We start from the raw sequence: 17,682 nt of genomic DNA on the forward strand, positions 1-17,682 counted from the left end.
CTCGCTGGGGCAGATGCTTACACAGGTAGAGAGCCCAAGCCCAGGCTAGCAGCCTCAGTTGCTCAGTCATGCAGCAGGCGTATGCTGACCCCCTGTTACAGTCCTGGGCAGACAGAGATGTGCACCACACTACAGAAATAAACACAGTAAAGGGCTAGAGGTTTCTATCATGTACTGTATGAAGAGATTTTCTTTTCTTTTTTTTTTTTTTTTGTGAGATAAAGTCTCCCTCTGTAGCCCAGGCTGGAGTATAGTGGTGGGATCTCGACTCTGTAACCCCCGCCTCCTGGGTTCAAGTGATTCTTCTGCCTCAGCCTCCGAACTAGCTGGGATTATAGGCATGTGCCACCACATCCAGCTAATGTTTTTGTATCTTTAGTAGAGACAGAGTTTCACCAGGTTGGCCAGGCTGGTCTTGAACTCCTAATCTCAGATGATCCACCCACCTCGGCCTCCCAAAGTGCTGGGATTACAGGCGTGAGCCACTGAGCCCAGCCGAGATTTTCTTTTAAAGGAAGGTGAGAGAGTAACTTCTTGGCCACCTTATCCTATTTTCCCAGGCTCCTGGGCCACCGAGGAGGGTCAATTCGTGGAGGGGTGGCACCAAATGCCTCTATCATCCCTCTCTGCCATGGCTCTTCATAAGCACGTTGGCCAAGGCTGTTGCCACACAAGGTGGGGAAGTGACGTTTCTAAAGGTGCCATGTGGAGGAGCAGAACAAGCCCTTCAATTGTGCACCGTTGTGTATGGTGCCAGAGTAGCTTCTGAATGGAGAGAATTACACAGGTCTCCGTCCTGTTCTCTAAGTACCAATGGTCAGGCAGACACACCGACCCAGGCAGGAGCAGCGATCTGGCCATGGTTTATAGCAACAGGGAGTGCATCAGAATCACCTGATGAGCTTTTTAAAGATACAGATGCCCAGGCCCCAAACTTTTGCCCCAGAAGTTCTGACTCTAGTCTGGAGTGGGCCTTGTAGCTCCATGCATTTGAAAAACTCACTTGATGTGAGGCCCCTTGGAGAAGTACTGGTTGAGGAAGCGTATGCAGAGGTTTGAGCCAAACAACTGGATGGCAAGGCAACAGACATCCCACTGCCGTTCCTCTGCCACCTCTGAGTGTGATCAGATGTCTCTCCTGTCAGATTCCCTTTCCAATATTATCCTCCAGGAACTTGTGATTATCCTCTGTCTAAGTCAAAAGCAGCTTAATTCCTCTAAAAACAGTGCCCGTTGGGCATTTTGCCTGGAGAGAGAGAAGCAAATCTGTGTCAGCGTTCTTTGCTCAGTTCTGCTCTGCAGCCCCCATGGCGACACCCTCTCTCTTTGGACCACCTCCTCCCCTTTCGCTTCCTTCCACACAGTCCAGTGCTTTGTTAGGTACCTGCATCCCAGCAGGACTGGGGACCTGGCTGGATGTGGGCTTGGGTAGAGTTGGCCAGATGAAATGTGGTTGGCAAGAAGGTCCTGAGTGTGCTGAGACAGGCAAGAGTCAGTAATAAGATCAGAGAGTAGAAGACTAGGGCCAGGAGCGTGGGACAGGCTAAGGATGCCGGCTAGCCCCCAATCCCAGAGAGCATGCAGCTGAGTCTAAGAGAGGCTTCACTGATACCCATAAGGAGGCGGAATATGCAAACCCTCTTTGCTTAGGAGAACCTGAGTTCACCTGCCAAAATCATCCTTTGACATTAAAAAAAAAAAATCCCCTTGCTTTTAAAGAGCCAACCTCTTACCAGTTGCTTCTCTTTTGTCAGAGACATGGGCCTCTTCAACCAAGTCTCTGGGTCTTCTTGTCAAGACTAATTTCCTTTTAGGCCCAGCTTCATCTTCACGGGGACTTTCTTCCATCTGTGCACTGATGTTAGTGTCCCGTTGTCATTTAAGTCCTTGATTCTCTGAGACCACTATAGAGACTTTAAAGAAGGTGGGTCCTAAGTTTTGAGGGTACCATGGAGAGCAAAGTAGATGATATCTCTGCCCCCATGGGGCTTATATTCTAGAGGAGGAAACAGCCAGCAGTGGCAGTAGTGTGTTACATGCTGATAGGGCAGGTTCAGGGCACCTGACCTAACCTAGGAGAGGATCAGAAAAGGCTTCCCAGAAGTTCGATTTAAGCTGCAGTTGAGGGATGAGCAAGGCGAAGATGTAAAGGCCCTGGGGTGAAAGGAAGGAGGTTGTTGGAGGGACTGAGGGAGGTTCATCATGGCTTACCAAAAGGAAGGGAGTGGGAGAGATGAGCCATGGGAAGCCAGCAGGGCCCAGGTCATTAAGTAAGGGACAACCATGGCGAGGAGTTGCAATGTCACTCCAGCCCCTTGTTTGCCACCATGGACAGGTATTTTATGATTCCTGGATCGGAAATACACACACACACACACATACACACACACACACGCACACCCCTCACAGAAAAATAGCCACTCTGTCCCTTCTCATGCGGAGGAAGCACAGGGTAATCTGGATTATAAACCATCCGCCTGGGGCAGAGCTCGCCTGCTGTCATCATCTTCCTCCACCTCGGGATGCCACTCAGCCTCACACAGCACCAGCTCTCTGATGAAGAAAAGAAGTGACAAGGGCAAAATCAAAAACTCTCCAGAATGTATTCAGAGGGAAACTAAAGCCGGGAAGAGCTGTTCTCTTGTTCCCAGCCAACACTCACACTCCTGCCTGCTCTCATCAGAGGAGACTCCGCTTCCGCTATGCCTGACTGGCTGGCTGGGCGATTCTTTGGGGGCTGTGTTTTGTGCTTGTCACTCCCGCCCTGGGTCACTTTTAGGATGTGTGGACTGCTGAATCTTTAAAGGAAAGAATGAGCAAGGGAATCTCAGAGGCAGTTAGTTGGCAGGTTGTTTGCTGAGAATGAGGAAAGAGTTGTGACAGGCTTGGGGAGCTTGAGGAGAGGAAGAAATACAGGAGGGAAGTAGCCGGGAACCCATGGAAAAATGAAGGAGGGAGGGAGGAAGGAAGGGAAAGAAGGAGGGTAGGCTGAGGAGCAGGGAGCGCCTAGCTGTTAAATTTGTCATGGTGCCATTTGACACAGCATGTGCGTTTTGTGTAGCACAGCTCAGCAGCCTGGATGGTTCATCTTGATGGGTTTGGCAAAGCGGAAGTGGCAGATAGGCTAGGAGGAGCAGAGGTGGGGACTTTACGGTGGACTTAGTGAGGGTGTTAGAGGACCTATGAGCCCCAAACACGGGGATGGGCAGTGAAGGAGTGGCACCAGGAGGAAGCCAGTAGATTGGGATGATAGGGAGGACTCCAGGGGCAAGCAGGCTCCTTGAGGCCAAACAGCATGATTAGAATAAGGAAGTGAGTGGGAGAGACAAATAGGAAGTTTTATGATGAATATGTGGGCTTTCTAAGCTTAAAATCCTAGAAGGGCCAATTGTAGACGATGAGTGAGTTGAGTGAGTTGCTGGAGTGAAGGTGAAGGTCGTTGGTGTGCGGACTGGAGGTCAGTGAATTTAAGGCCAAAGGTGTTGGCTTGGTCATGCACCTGACATCATACTTTTAGTGCTTGGCAGGAGTGGTTGAGAAGGTAACAGCGGGGTAGGTGCCATAATCCTTGTTGAAGTCGAGGAGTTGACTTAGAAGGCCTGCAGAGTCCAGTGACAAGGATGTTTGGGACAGATTTTGTGAGCTCTGAGCTTCTCTCCTGACTGGAAGATCATTTCTTTGGAAGAGGTGATGTCATCCACAAAGAGCATTTGTATTCCTTTGGAGAAGAAGTACTTCCTTTTATTGTCAGGTCATTTTAGCATGATTGAAAAATCAGGAGAAAACTTTTTTAAATGCCTGAAAGGAATGTTATATGAGATGTCTAAAGTTCTGGCCTCCGGTTCCAGCTCTGTGGCCTAATACAAAGTCACTTTATACCTCAGCTTCTTTCTGAAACGGAAGAGCTGCCTGGGGCTGTTGTGAGGCTCTGTGGGATAGCAGCACATTCAAGCATTGACTGTGTATCAGGTGCTGTGCTGAGCATGTTCATTGAAGTCTTACTATTTTTAGTATTCCCATTTTATAGCTGTATAAATTGAGCCAAGAGAGGTAAATAATTTACCCAGGGCTATGTAACTATTAAATGACAGAACAAGGGCCTTGAAGCCTGAGCCTTTAACCATTTCCTATACTGCCTCTGTTAGGCTCTGCAAATCTAAAAATAAGATAAAGCAATCAGTGCCAAGTGTAGGAGAAGGCATGAAGGCAAGCCACTTCACCACAGTCTCATCTACGCTGTGTTAGAGGGTTAGCATGTGCTGTGGGGATGTGGTAGAGGGACTGGTTCCTCATCCAGGGTGACTCCAGGAAGGCTTCCCAGAGGAGCTTGCACTTGGGCTAAGTCTCAAATCTGCAGAAGGCAGTTCGTCATGTCACTTGGTCACTTGGCACCTCTTCTCATGTTGGTCTGAAATATGCCAGATCACTGACCTCTCCCTGTGTCCTGTTTTGCCCCTTGGGGACACAGAAAAATTGATTCCCTTTTCTATAAAATCACTCTCTAAATATTGGATTTTTGTTTTAACAAATTTTTTTTTAAGGCAGAGTCTTGCTCTGTCACCCAGGCTGGAGTGCAGTGGTGCAATCTCAGCTCACCGCAACCTCCACCTCCAGGGTTCAAGCGATTCTCCTGCCTCCCGCCTCAGCCTCCCGAGTAGCTGGGATTACAGGCATGCACCACCACACCCGGCTGATTTTTATATTTTTAGTAGAGACGGGGTTACACCGTGTTGGCCAGGCTGGTCTCGATATGCTGACCTCAGGTGATCCACCCACCTCAGCCTCCCAAAGTGCTGGGATTATAGGCATGAGCCACCGCACCCGGCCAGAATCACTCTTCAGATATTTGAATAGTGAAATTGTAGCTTTCATATTGTCTTCCCCAAGTTAAACAACCTTGATTTCTTCCCTCCCTTCTTCCTGCTAGGTGCCAGGAACTGAGGCACTGTGCTGTGCACTGGGGACAGAGATCTAAAAAATGAAAAGCCAGATGCTGCCCAGCAGGAACTTACAGTCTAGTGGGAAGAATAGGGCCATAAAATATTTTATTGCTTTTGTCTGTCTCCTTTACCAAATTTCCCATCATCCAGCATAGCGACTGGTGCACAATAGACATCTGTTTTGTCTGTTGTGGAATTGGTGACTCTAGGTGCTATGTGAAGGTAAGCCTAGGGTGTTGTGGGGGCCGGTAGGAAGACCTAAGTCAGACCCAGAAGGGGAGTGGTAGACTTTTCCGGCTGACCTAAGTCCTCAAAGATGAATAGGACTTCACCAGGGAAGGCATTCCAGGCAGAGGGAGCAGCAGATGCACAGACACAGGGGCAAGGCGCAAGGTGGGGTGTAGCGTTCAGAGTCTGGAAAGCTGCTAGAGGCCAGATGATAGACAGTTGTGCTAAGAAGATTGGGCTTAATCCTGAGGGCAGATGAGTAAAATGTTCAGATTCACATTGTAGAAAAGGTCACCCAGGTGGCACTAGGAAGAATGAATTGAAGGGAAGCCACATTAATAGGCGGAAAGACCAGTTTAAAGATTGCTAGAATAATCCCAATGAGAACTGGTAAGAGCCTAAGCCCAGTGGCTAAGGAAAGTAGGAGACAAATTCAAGAGGGCTTGGGAAGTAAAATCCACAGGACTTACTGGTCAGCTGGATGGACGGGCGATGTTTGGGCCAATGAGAAGATGGTGTTGCCACCCACCTAAGTAGGGATAGAGAAGGAAGAGCAAGGGCTGGAGAAGTTAGGTCATGAATTTGTTTGGGAGATGTTGAGTTGGAGGTGCCTGTGGAACATCCAAGTGAGGGTGCTTGGTCTTACGCAGATGGTTTTGGAGCCCAGGAGAGACCTGAGTTAGAGGTGCAGTTTTGGAAGTCAGTAGCATATAGGTAGTACTGGGTATTTGTAAGCGTTAGAGTAGCTGAACTCACCCAAGAATAGTTTACAGAGAAAGAAGAGAAGAGGACTGAGGGCACCAAAATTTGAGTTGCAGAGAGAATAAAGCGAGGCCTTGGGAGAGACTTGGGAGCGGTCAGAGAGGGAAGAGGAAAACTGAGGAAGCTAGGGAGTAGTCAGCAATTTCCCAATGAAGTCAACTTGCTTTATAGAGTCTGGGTTGCCCACAAGGGACCACATCATTGTACCTAAGCTGCCATGATCATGGGAGGACAGTCACGTGCTTCTTGCAACCTCTTGGGCAGAGATTCTTTTTTTTTTTTTTTTGAAACAGAGTCTCACTCTGTCGCCGAGGCTGGAGTGCAGTGGCATGATACCGGCTCACTGCAAGCTCCGCCTCCCAGGTTAATGCCATTCTCCTGCCTCAGCTTCCCGAGTAGCTGGGACTACAGGCGCCCACCGCCACACACGGCTAACTTTTTGTATTTTTGGTAGAGATGGGGTTTCACCGTGTTAGCCAGGATGGTCTTGATCTCCTGACCTCATGATCCACCCACCTCAGCCTCCCAAAGTGCTGGGATTACAGGCGTGAGCCACCGTGCCCGGCCCTCTTGGGCAGAGATTCTTAAGGCTGGATTTGAGGACCCGTGCTTTGGAGCAGTGGTTCCCAAAATCCCTGGATAAGAATCCAGTCCTACCCTAGAATCACTGTGCTGGAATATCCAGAAGGGCCTGAGAATTCATTTGCTCAGTAAGCATTCCAAGTGCTTCTTCTCATGAGGGAAGTCTGGGAGTGACTCCAGACCATAGGTTCTTTCCAACTGCACAAATCACACCCCCACTCTCCCACCCTACACCCTAATACCCTCCAACCTAAAGTTCTTGAGAATCCCCATGATCATGAGCCACTGTTACTGATGGAACCATGTCATGAATCCCTCAGATGTGTGGGATGGAAATGCTAACCCACTGACCGAACAGAGTTTCTGAACAACTGAGTGGGAAATTCTGCACTTAGATTATTGGTCCAGTGGAAATTCTGCACTTAGATTATTGGTCCAGCTCTGCTTCTCCGAAAGCTTTTAGACCAGAGCCCCTCACTGCCCCCTGGTGTAGACAGTCTGATTGCCTACTCCATTTTGTGGAATAATGGACCTGACTGTAATCCAACATGTTTTTTAAAGCTAGCATATGTTTCAAAGCTGACTATTAAAGAAGTGTGGAAGAGGTACCATATGTAGACAAAGAAGACGTTTTTGGGCAATTGCCATGGAAAGAGCTAACTCTACTTTTTTATATATTTAAGACCTAACACTGCTTCATGTCCCCAGCAGTGGAATTCTTGAAGAATGTTTAATACATCTGCTCTCAGGAGTGATTTTGTACATAAGGCCTTCGTCTCTACCAAAGGTATTAGCATAGAAGCAGTTCAGAAGGCCAGTGCCCTTTGTGTGAAATTGCAAATTTGTGAAATTCAAACATTGTCATTCATTTCTGAATAGTTAAGATCAATAATCTCTCCTGAACAATTGGCTTTGGGACATTGTCTTTCTAGGAAAAATAGAAACATAAATTATACTCATTTAAATATTGCAGAGAGAAGGGACCTACTGAGTAGAAAACTCAGGAATGTGCCTCTAAGGAACTTAGGGACCTCTCCTTTTTTGGGTTCTTTTATTTCATTAAAAAATATATAAATTTTGGCTGGGTGCCATGGCTCATGGCATTACAGAGTGCTGTAATCCCCTCCACTCTGAGGTCAGGAGTTTGAGACCAGCCTGGCCAACATGGTGAAACCCCGTCTCTACTAAAAATACAAGAATTAACTGGGTATGGTGGCACACACCTGTAATCCCAGCTACTCAGGAGGCTAAGGCAGGAGAATCACTTGAACCCAGGAGGCGGAGATTGCAGTGAGCCAAGATCGTGCCACTGCATTCCAGCCTGGGCGACAGAGCGAGACTCTGTCTCAATAAATAAATAAATAAATAAATAAATAAATAAATAAATAAATTTTATTGTATGTATTTAAGGTATGCCCAAAGGGACTTAAATCATCACTTCATAAAGATACCTGTGTGTCCATGCTCCTGCAGCATTATTCACAAAGCCAAGATATGGAAACAATCTGTCAGTGGATGAATGGATAAAGAAACTGTGGTGTATGTACACAATGGAATATTATTCAGTCTTTTTTTTTTTTTTTTGAGACAGAGTCTTGCTCTGTTACCATGGTGGCAGTGTAGTGGTACAATCATGGCTCACTGCAGCCTCAACCTCCCAGGCTCAAGTGATCCTCCCATCTCAGCCTCCTGAGTAGCTGGGACTACAAGCATGTGCCACCACACCTGGCTACTTTTTTCTATTTTTAGTAGAGATGAGGCCTCCCTGTGTTGCTAAGGCTGGTCTTGAACTCCCAAGCTCAGATGCTTCCCCTGCCTCAGCCTCCCAAAGTGCTAGGATTGCAGGTGTGAGCCACCATGCCCAGCCTTCAATCTTAAAAAAGAAGGAGATCCTGCCATTTGCCACAACTTGGAGTTATTTTAGAATGAGAGATTGAAGGATGGTGCTGTCTGGTGGTCCCTTTCAGACCCATCATACGTACTTCAGATCTAAATATAGCAAAGGCTTGTTCTTTCCTACATTCATTCAGTAAACAATTATTGGGCACCTGTTATGTGGCAAGATCTGTGCTGGGCACTTTCTTTGTCCTTAGATATCTTTGAGACATCAAAATAACTTCAGGGTGAGCTCAGTTTGATCCTGGAGGACAGGAATTGAGTATCTCGTGCAATATTAAAGCTATTGTAAAGGCATTGCTGGTGACTTCCCATTTCCAGTTTAGCTGCATCCTGAACTATTTTTTCCCTTCCTCAAGAAGCCAAACAGCATGGGAATTATCCTTACATCTCAAAGTACCTGGTGTAAAGTGGTGAAAGCACCAACCGAAGGCCAGCTGGCTTCTGGGAGTAAAATCAGTACTTGACATTCAGATTCCACGTTCGATTTTTGAATGATCTGTCATAGAGCCTATCATTTGAATCTTAGCACGATTTTGAAACTTACAATTAGCAATAGTAACTAGCAGTATTATTCCTCTTATACAGTGGAGAAAGCTGAAGTTCCAGGAGGTTAAGTGCTTTGCACAAGGTCACGTCGTTAGGACATACTAGAGCTAGATCGAGCACAAGTTTCCCACTCTCGATTGAGTGCTCTTTTTGCCAACAGAGCTCAATGGCCTTATAACCACCTCATCTCTCCCCCTTCCGCATCTCAGAATGGCTTAACCAGGAGGATGTAAGGAGGTGCTAAATGAAGAGAAGAGACTGCAGCTAGGTGAAAAGGCACAAGCAACTGCTGCTTGAGGGTAGCTCCAAGGGCAGGAGTGGAAGGAGATGGGCTGGTTCATCCTCCACCACTCGTTTCAGATATTCACAACTGGAGAGCCATCTCCTACATCAGAGGACATACAGCTCGTCTCTAGGCCTCTTCCCTTTAGAGGGAGGCCTGGAAAGGACTACTGACTTTTTGCCAGCTCGTTGAGCTGTTTGTTAGGTATTTCTACAACAAACACTGCTTTTACTTCTTTACCTATTTTTTTCCCCAATCTGAGGGATACAAGAAAACTATTCTAGTAGTTTTTCAACCCTAAAGGCATTTCTAAAACTAAAATGAAACAGTGAGAAATTAATTCCTTCGTTCAGCTGTTAGCCCTAACTCAGAGTTAGATGACAGGTCCATGTCCAGCTGACGTAGTAACAAGAGGTCTCTGGGCCCCTCCTGGGAGCCCCTTGGTGCTTTGGCTTTTTTCTTTTTTCCCTACTCATGGATGAATCCAATCTTCTAATCCAGTATGTACCTTAGGCCCAAAGATAAAAAGATAGGTTTCTTTGCACACACAAACACACCCTGGGCTGACTATAAATCTGCTCCTTGCCTGAGTATAGCAGAAACAAAATATGTTGCTTCCTCCTCGAGGGAGGAATTGGCATTTCTTCCACAAGGAAGGGGTGAGAGGAGGCTCTACTGGCCTTTTTGAACTTACTTCTCAGCTAGGGAAATGAATAACATCCTGGTTGGCCTCGGTGGAGTAGAAGTGGAGGGAAGGAGGGGTGATGCTGACCCCACACTCGAGCCACAGCCTCGGAATCTCTTTACCCGTAGGCGCCACACTTGGCACACAATGAGTCTGTGAGTTGAGGGGAAATCACAACCAGATTAACACAGTGATTTGGGCATTTTTTCACACTTACTAACGAGTGGGCTTTTGACAAGGCCTAAGTGGAGCCTTCTCTGCAGGCAAGCCTGGACTCCCCACCCCTCTCCTCTAGGCAGTAAGGCCTGTAAGAGAAAAGGGCAGAGATGGACCCAAGTCTTGCTTGCCCTCTGCAGCTGTGCAGAGAAGGCCTGGTGCCGCCACACTCCTGCTCGGCTCCTAGGCTGCTAGCGGGAGGTATGAATTTCTCTTGTTTGCTTTAATGGAGTGTTAACCCCCGTCGCTGGAACTCATGTTAATGCCTAACACAAGGCTGGGACTGCAGGGAGAGGCCAAGGGACTGGCAGCTGAAGGCAATTTGAGGATTGACCTCATGGGGTGGGGAGAGGGAGGAGAGGAAAGGGAGACATCAGTTGAATGTCTGCTGGATAGACAAGCCGGATGTAACAGGCCCAAGACCGATGTGCAAGACCAAGGTTCTGTCTGCTCCTGCTTCTGTCACAGGCCATGTCCTGTCCCCTCCCCTCCCTGGGCCTCCATTTCCTTGTGTTTAAAAGAGGAGATAGAACCAGATATACTCTAAGGGGACCAACAGCCAAAAAATGCTTTTGGGGACAGGCCAGGGGGAGGGGAGTAGGGTGTGGGCAGTGATTCTGCAGCTTCCGTGCACACAGATCCCCTGGGGGTCTTATTAAAATGCAGCTGGTGACGCCGGCGGTCTGGGGAGGGGTCTGAGCAGCTGCCTTTCTCACAGGCTTCCAGGTGATGCTGCTGCTGCTGGTGGGTGGAGCACACTTTGAACAGCGAAGGTATTGAGTGCAAAATGGGGTTCTCCAGTCTAAGTTCTGCCCCGCACTTCACTTCCCTGCCCTGATTTCCTCAACCGTGAAACGGGGAATAGTAATCGTTGCCTTGTCTTCCTCTCTAGGGGTGTTGTGAGGATTCATGGAGCAAATGGCTGTGAAAGCACCTTGTAAAGGGTAGAGCAGTGTGCGGCGTGAGGGATTATTATCATTGTTAAGACGTCTACGCCTCGTTGCTCACCCTGTGTGATCCTGCAGCTTCTCAACTTTTCCCTCCTTTCTCCCTGGTTTCCACGCCTGGGCTGCTGAGTCAGGCGGACCGGCCAAGGCTGGCGAGGGCTGAACAGATGCTCTGACATGTCAAGGCAGGAAATGACAGTTCCCAGGCAGCCCTCTGTTTCAGGTGTGGAACAGGCTCCGAACACACTTTGTGTGATAAATTGTAGTAACGCCAGGCTGAGCTCTACCTCCACCCCCTTAGGCTGCAAGACTAGGACATGAGGCTGAAAGTCAGAGAAGTCCCTGTGAGACGAGGGCCCTGAGCAAGCACTGGCCAGACTGTAGCAAGGCCACTCACCAGGCCACCCCGCTGGTTCTACTTCCGCACCCACCTCTGGCAGCCATGATGCTTCTGCAGCATGCCAGTTTGTTCACTGAGACCTTCACAGAAGGTCGCACAACCACCCTGGACGGTGAGAAACTAAGGTGACTGAGGCAAGTCATTGAACCACCCTGAGCCTTGGCTTCCTCATCTATGAAATGGAGTTGACAGCATCTGTCCTGCCTGTGGTAAAAATTGCTGTGATCCCACAACCAAAAGGAAAGAGAGAATTATGAGAAAAATATGTACTTATTCTGTGAAAATATGTGAGATTTTCATGAGAGACTTCCTGTTCCAGTGGACTCTTCCACCGCCCTTGAGTGGGGAACATCCAGGCCTTCACACTCACGCTCAGCCCATCACCCCTCTGTGCAAGGTGCAAGGTCCTCTGCCCACCTGAAGCCTCAAGGCCTGATGGAAACCATCCACAGCCACTCTAGTAAGTGACCCCTCCATTGTCCAAAACAGTGCTGCTGCTTAGCCTGCTCTTCTCAGGCCAAGTCTTTGTTGAACAGCTTCAGTGCAAGGACCTGGGAAGTCGGGATTCTGTAATGTACCTTGCCCCCAGTCAGGATGGGAGGCCAGGCCCAGATCTTCTTCCCAAGGACCCTGCACCTGAAAATCTGGTACAGGTTTGTCCTTTGGAGTGAGAGCTCTTGGGTTTAGGTGGTTGAGAGAGGTGGAAGGTTGACCACACACTCCAAATACACATGTTTATTGCCCAAGCTGGGAACACCATTTTTAAAGCCCACATAGTTAGGAGACTACCAAAATAACAAAGCTAAAAATGGGTCAGGTATCAAACGGGTCAACTCCAGTACCGGCAGGCACATCCGGGACCCTCCCCTTCAGGGCAGGTGGACTCCTCCTTTCCTTTCCCCGCAGCTACTGTCCCAGGGCCTTAGAGGAACAAATAGCCCCTGGCTCCAGATCAGAGCCAGTGTGCCCACCCATCCCTCCCTGCTCTTTGAAATTCCCAAGGCCAGCAGGGGGCCCAGGCCTGCAAAGCTGGGCCTCCAGACACCTCCGCCAGCTGGGGAGGCAGAGAGTTCGCACTCTGAGGAAACGCAGATCCTCAGAGGAGAGTAAAAGGTCAGAAATAATCCAAGAGGACAAGCCACTCGTGTCTGTGTGTATATTGGGTTTCACATCTGAAATCCAGTCATGATAAATCTGGTTTTTGAAACATCTTCTTTGACTAATAAAAACAGAAGACTTCTTGGCCCCAGGTTTCAGACTTCAAAGTTCTCAGTTGAGAGCCTCGTGTTTGACTTATTTGTGGAGCACAGAAATCACAGGATTTAGCTGGGTTGCTCCCTCCACCCCCTACCACCCAACTGCAAGAACACTTAAAAATTCTGGAATGGAAAGACTGAGCTGAAAACCCCCTCGCTGGCACTCCAGCCATATTTTCAAAAAAAAAAATTCAGCATGGTAGTTTTAGTGGAGAAATGACAGGCTTTGGAGCCAAATGAACCTAGGATCCTAATCCTGACTGTACCCTTGACCTTGTCATCTTAAGCAACAATCTTACTTCTCTCTGCCACAGTTCCTTGAACTGTACAAATTGGAACAATAACATCCACCTCATAAGTTATTGGGATGATTTCAGTGCAATAGTGTGTATAAAGTAGCTATGCCTGATGCAAAGTGGACACCCGACAAATGTTAGTTATCTTACCTTTCCTGATACCTGACCACAGACTAATTATTTGGAATGAGGACTGTCCTAGAAAACCCAGTTTGTATGCTTGCTGTCTTGAGAGATTCAGTTCCTTGTTTTTCCATTGAAGGAATTGCTAGGTTTCCGAGGATAGTTTGTCTTGCAGTGTATTCTGAGCCCTGCCATAGGAATCCTATCACAGCTCTATGTGTATGTTTTCTATCCACCTGAAGAAGCAGGCCAGAGCAGCCTACAGGAAACATTTTCTTTTTCTTTTCTCTTTTTTGAGACTGAGTCTTACTCTGTGGCCCAGGCTGGAGTACAATGGCGCAATCTCGGCCCACTGCAACCTCCGCCTCCCGGGTTCAAGTGATTCTCCTGCCTCAGCCTCCCGAGTAGCTGGGATTACAGGCGCCTGCCATCATGCCCGGCTGATTTTTGTATTTTTGTAGAGACGGGGTTTCACCGTGTTGGCCAGGCTGGTCTCGAACTCCTGACCTCAGGTGATCCACACGCCTCGGCCTCCCAAAGTGCTGGGATTACAGGCGTGAGCCACCGCACCTGGCCAGGAAACATTGTCATTGCAGCCCAGCTACAAAATGATTCTTCTCTTCCTCCTTGGAGGGGGAGAAATCATGAGTGTGCCAAGTTTAAAACAGAAGAGTAAAGGGTCTCTGGCGTCCAGTCTGGGAATGCCAGCTTCAGCCTGACTTGGAAAGCTCTCTTGTTCCCTGAAGCACCTCCATGTTTGTTCTGAATGTGGAGCCAGTCGAGATTCTCCTTACTGGGACCTACACTGATGACTGATCTCTTGGGCTCACAGCCCTGCTCAATGACCTCATGATGTGTGAGGGCCTCAGCCATTTCTTGACAGTCATGAAAAGGTGTCTCCTAGGAAGCCGGGCCTGTTTATCCAGAGGTTAGTTGTAGGCAGGGGAGACAAAGAGGACAGGTAAAGGGACTTGATTTTAAAATCAACTCCTTCCAGAGTTGTTCTTCTAGCCCTTTCTGATCTGATGTATGAAATTTGTACAGAGGTGGAATCGTTTCTGCCATTTTTCACACACAAGTTGGTGCACATTCCTAATATGAATTAAAAATAAATATGCCATGTGTACACAGGGATGAGTCAACATTGCATGCAGCCAGCCATGGCCACTGGGAGAAGAGTCAGACATGGGCCATGGAGCTGCAGGCTCACCTGCCCCCGGCTGAGTCAGGACCGAGCACAGGACTTGACAGAGGAGGCATCGCAGCAAGGTCAGGTGCCTCCCGTGCTTCTTATGGGCCCACCTGGTCCCAGCATGAGTGCTTCTCCCAGGAGGCATTTTTTTGTCTCTCGACTTTTTCTTTCTTTCTTTTTTTTTTTTCTTAAAAAACTGATTACAGAAACTGTAGGCCAAGTGCAGTGGCTCATGCCTGTAATCCCAGCACTTCAGGAGGCCAAGGCAGGAGCATCACTGGAAGCCAACAGTTTGAGATCCAGCCTGGGCAACGAACAAGACTCCATATCTACAAAAAATAAATAAATAAATAAATAAATTAATTAATTAAATAAATAAATAAATAAAATAACAGGTGCCTATGGTTTCAGCTACTTGGGAGAGGAGGGAGGATTGCTTCAGCCCAAGAGTTCAAGGCTGCAGTAAGCTATGATTGCACCACTGCACTCCAGCCTGGGCGACAGAGTGAGATCCTCTCTCTAAAAAAAAAAAATTTTTATTTTTTTTTTTTTTGAAACAGAGTCTTGCTTTGTCGCCCAGGCTGGAGTGCAGTGGCGCGATCTCGGCTCACTGCAGCCTCTGCCTCCTGGGTTCAAGCAGTTCTCTGCCTCAGCCTCCTGAGTAGCTGGGGTTATAGGCGCCTGCCACCACACCCGGCTAATGTTTGTATTTTGAGTAGAGACGGGGCTTCACCATCTTAGCCAGGCTGGTCTTGAACTCCTGACCTCATTATCTACCCACCTCAGCCTCCCAAAGTACTGGGATTACAGGCATGAGCCACCATGCCCGGCCAAAAATTTTTTTAAAATAATAAATAATAATAAAAAATATAAAATACAAAAAAATAATTAGGAAACAGCTGGGCACAGTGGCTCAAGCCTGTAATCCCAGAACTTTGGGAGGCCGAGACGGGTGGATCACTTGAGGTCAAGAGTTCCAGACCCGCCTGGCCAACATGTTGAAACCTCATTCTACTAAAAATACAAAAATTAGCTGGGCATGGTGGCACATGCCTGTAATCCCAGCTCCTTGGGATGCTAAGGCACAAGAATCACTTGAGCCCGGGGGGCAGAGGTTACAGTGAGCTGAAAGCATGCCACTGCCCTACAGCCTGGGCAACAGAGTGAGACTCCATCTCAAAAAAAAAAAAAAATTGTGGGAAACATATAGAAAAATATAAAGTAACAGAAGAGTCCCCTATAGCCTGACTACCCAGAGACAGCGTGGTTAACATTTTGTCGTGAATCATTTAGAATGTTTTTCCATGTTTCTTTTGCATTGTTCAATAATAATAACTGTATACTTTTGTCTTTTTAAATTTAACATTGTATCTTAAAGAATTCTAATTATAAACATCATGTTTATGACTACCTAACATTCTACTGCAAGAATGAAGTATAACTTTCTTAACAAATACCATATTGTAGGGCTGTGTTAAAATGGCAATGAGCGTATTTATGCATGACGGTTGTTGCTTCCTAGGTTATTTATTTTGGCTAGATTTCTGGAAGTGGCATCCCTGCCTAGGTCAGTAGTTGGGCACGTTTTTAATTTTTTTTTTTTTTTTTTTGAGACAGTGTCTCCCTCCATCACCCAGGCTGGAGTGCAGTGCCACGATCTTGGCAGACTGCAACTTCCACCTCCTGGGTTCAAGTGATTCTCCTGCCTCAGCCTCCTGAGTAGCTGGGATTACAGGCATGCACCACCATGCCTGGCTAATTTTTGTATTTTTAGTAGAGTTTTCCCATGTTGGCCAGGCTGGTTTTGAACTTCCGGCCTCAGGTGATCCGCCTGCCTCAGCCTCCCAAAGTGCTGGGATTACAGGTGTGAGCCACCGCGTCTGGCCTTGATTCTTAATGCATATTGCCAAATTGCCCGTCAGATAGCTTATACTAGTAATATTCCTGCCCGAAACAGTCAATCTCATTCCGTTCTTACGCGTGTTGAGTATAACTCTGCTTGTTTATCGAAGAATTTAGGGAGCTAAAAAGTTCTATCCCCACCCTCAGATGTGGGGAGATCAGAGCTAAGAGGTTGCTTCTCCTACTCTCCTGTGCCCCCTGCAGGCATCCTCAGAGAAAGTGGGGTGCACATACTCACCATACGCTTTCACTCCCCACCAAAGGCCCTTGCTATGTAATTGACGCATAACCAGTCAGCCTTACCGGTGGCATTGCCCAGGCTCCAGTATTTCTCCTCTGGCTGCTTGCCTCTGGCCCAGTGTTCCCTCAGTCACTCTCTTAGCCTTTCATAGAATCCCACTGCCCCAAAGAAGAGCTGCTTACAGAGCCCTGGGGTAATCCTCTAATTTTGAATGGGCCTGTGTAGCTTACAAAGCACTTGTCAAAAGACAAAATTATAACAAACTTCATTATAGATCTAATTGGCTTTTATTTGTGATTCATGAATCTGGGCAGCCTCCATTCTACAAAATAGAATGAGAGCTCCCACTGGGCAGTGGTAGAACAGCGGGTTTTTTAAGGTGAGATCAAGGAAACAATAGAAAAAAAAAAAAGCTCATTGGTTAACATCAGGTTACTTCAAGGTTTTGTTTTTTTTTTTTGAGACGGACTCTCTCTTTGTTGCCCAGGCTGGAGTGCGGTGCCGCGGATCTCACTGCAATCTCTGCCCACCAAATTCAAGTGATTTTCCTGCTTCAGCCTCCTGAGTAGCTGGAATTACAGGCATGCACCACCATGCCCAGCTAATTTTTGTATTTTTAATAGCGACAGGGTTTTGCCATGTTGGCCAGGCTGGTCTCAGACTCCTGACTTCAGGTGATCCGCCCACCTTGGCCTCCCGAAGTGCTGGGATTAAAGGCGTGAGCCACTGCGCCTGGCCAGGTTCTTTTTTTGTAAAGGATTAAAGGCTACCCTGACTCAGTTAGACTGAAATCTCCCATTTTCAGGAATAGCTGGTCTGTTTTGGGATCTATCTGCTTCCTTAAAGTTTCAGTTTGATTGTGTGGCATTTAGCATGGGTGATTCCATTTCATTTTGGTCTGGTGTGTGGGGCCTAGTGCAGGAGCTCAGTTCAAAACAGTGGCCTCCCATAACTTTTCTTTTTTTTTTTTTTGAGACAGAGTCTCACTCTGTCGCCCAGACTGGAGTGCAGTGGCGCAGCCTCGGCTCACTGCAACCTCCATCTCCTGGGTTCAAGAAATCTCCTGTCAGCCTCCCAAGTAGCTGGGACTACAGATGCACGCCACCACACCCGGATAATTTTTATATTTTTTAGTAGAGATGGGGTTTCACCATATTGGTCAGGCTGGTCTCAAACTACTGACC

The 17,682-nt window shown here is 47.6% G+C and overlaps 1 protein-coding gene across 8 annotated transcripts in view, besides 2 other annotated features; it reads left to right on the forward strand.

The window, feature by feature from the left end:
- Window positions 1-17,682, forward strand: part of BCAS3 (BCAS3 microtubule associated cell migration factor) — a 714,981-nt gene that overhangs the window by 664,704 nt on the left and 32,595 nt on the right. The gene's annotated exons all lie outside the window — the stretch shown is intronic.
- Window positions 9,807-10,753: an enhancer, noted in NCBI's record as "NANOG-H3K4me1 hESC enhancer chr17:59429722-59430668 (GRCh37/hg19 assembly coordinates)". NCBI's record gives its function as "activates a minimal SCP1, AML or CMV promoter by ChIP-STARR-seq in primed H9 embryonic stem cells {active_cell/tissue: H9 hESC(primed)}" and the evidence as "EXISTENCE:reporter gene assay evidence [ECO:0000049][PMID:30033119]".
- Window positions 14,154-14,448: an enhancer, noted in NCBI's record as "tiled region #2758; HepG2 Activating DNase matched - State 5:Enh". NCBI's record gives its function as "activates a minimal TATA promoter and a strong SV40 promoter by Sharpr-MPRA in HepG2 cells {active_cell/tissue: HepG2}" and the evidence as "EXISTENCE:reporter gene assay evidence [ECO:0000049][PMID:27701403]".

Source organism: Homo sapiens, chromosome 17 (assembly GCF_000001405.40).
Source record: "Homo sapiens chromosome 17, GRCh38.p14 Primary Assembly".
Taxonomy (NCBI): domain Eukaryota; kingdom Metazoa; phylum Chordata; class Mammalia; order Primates; family Hominidae; genus Homo; species Homo sapiens.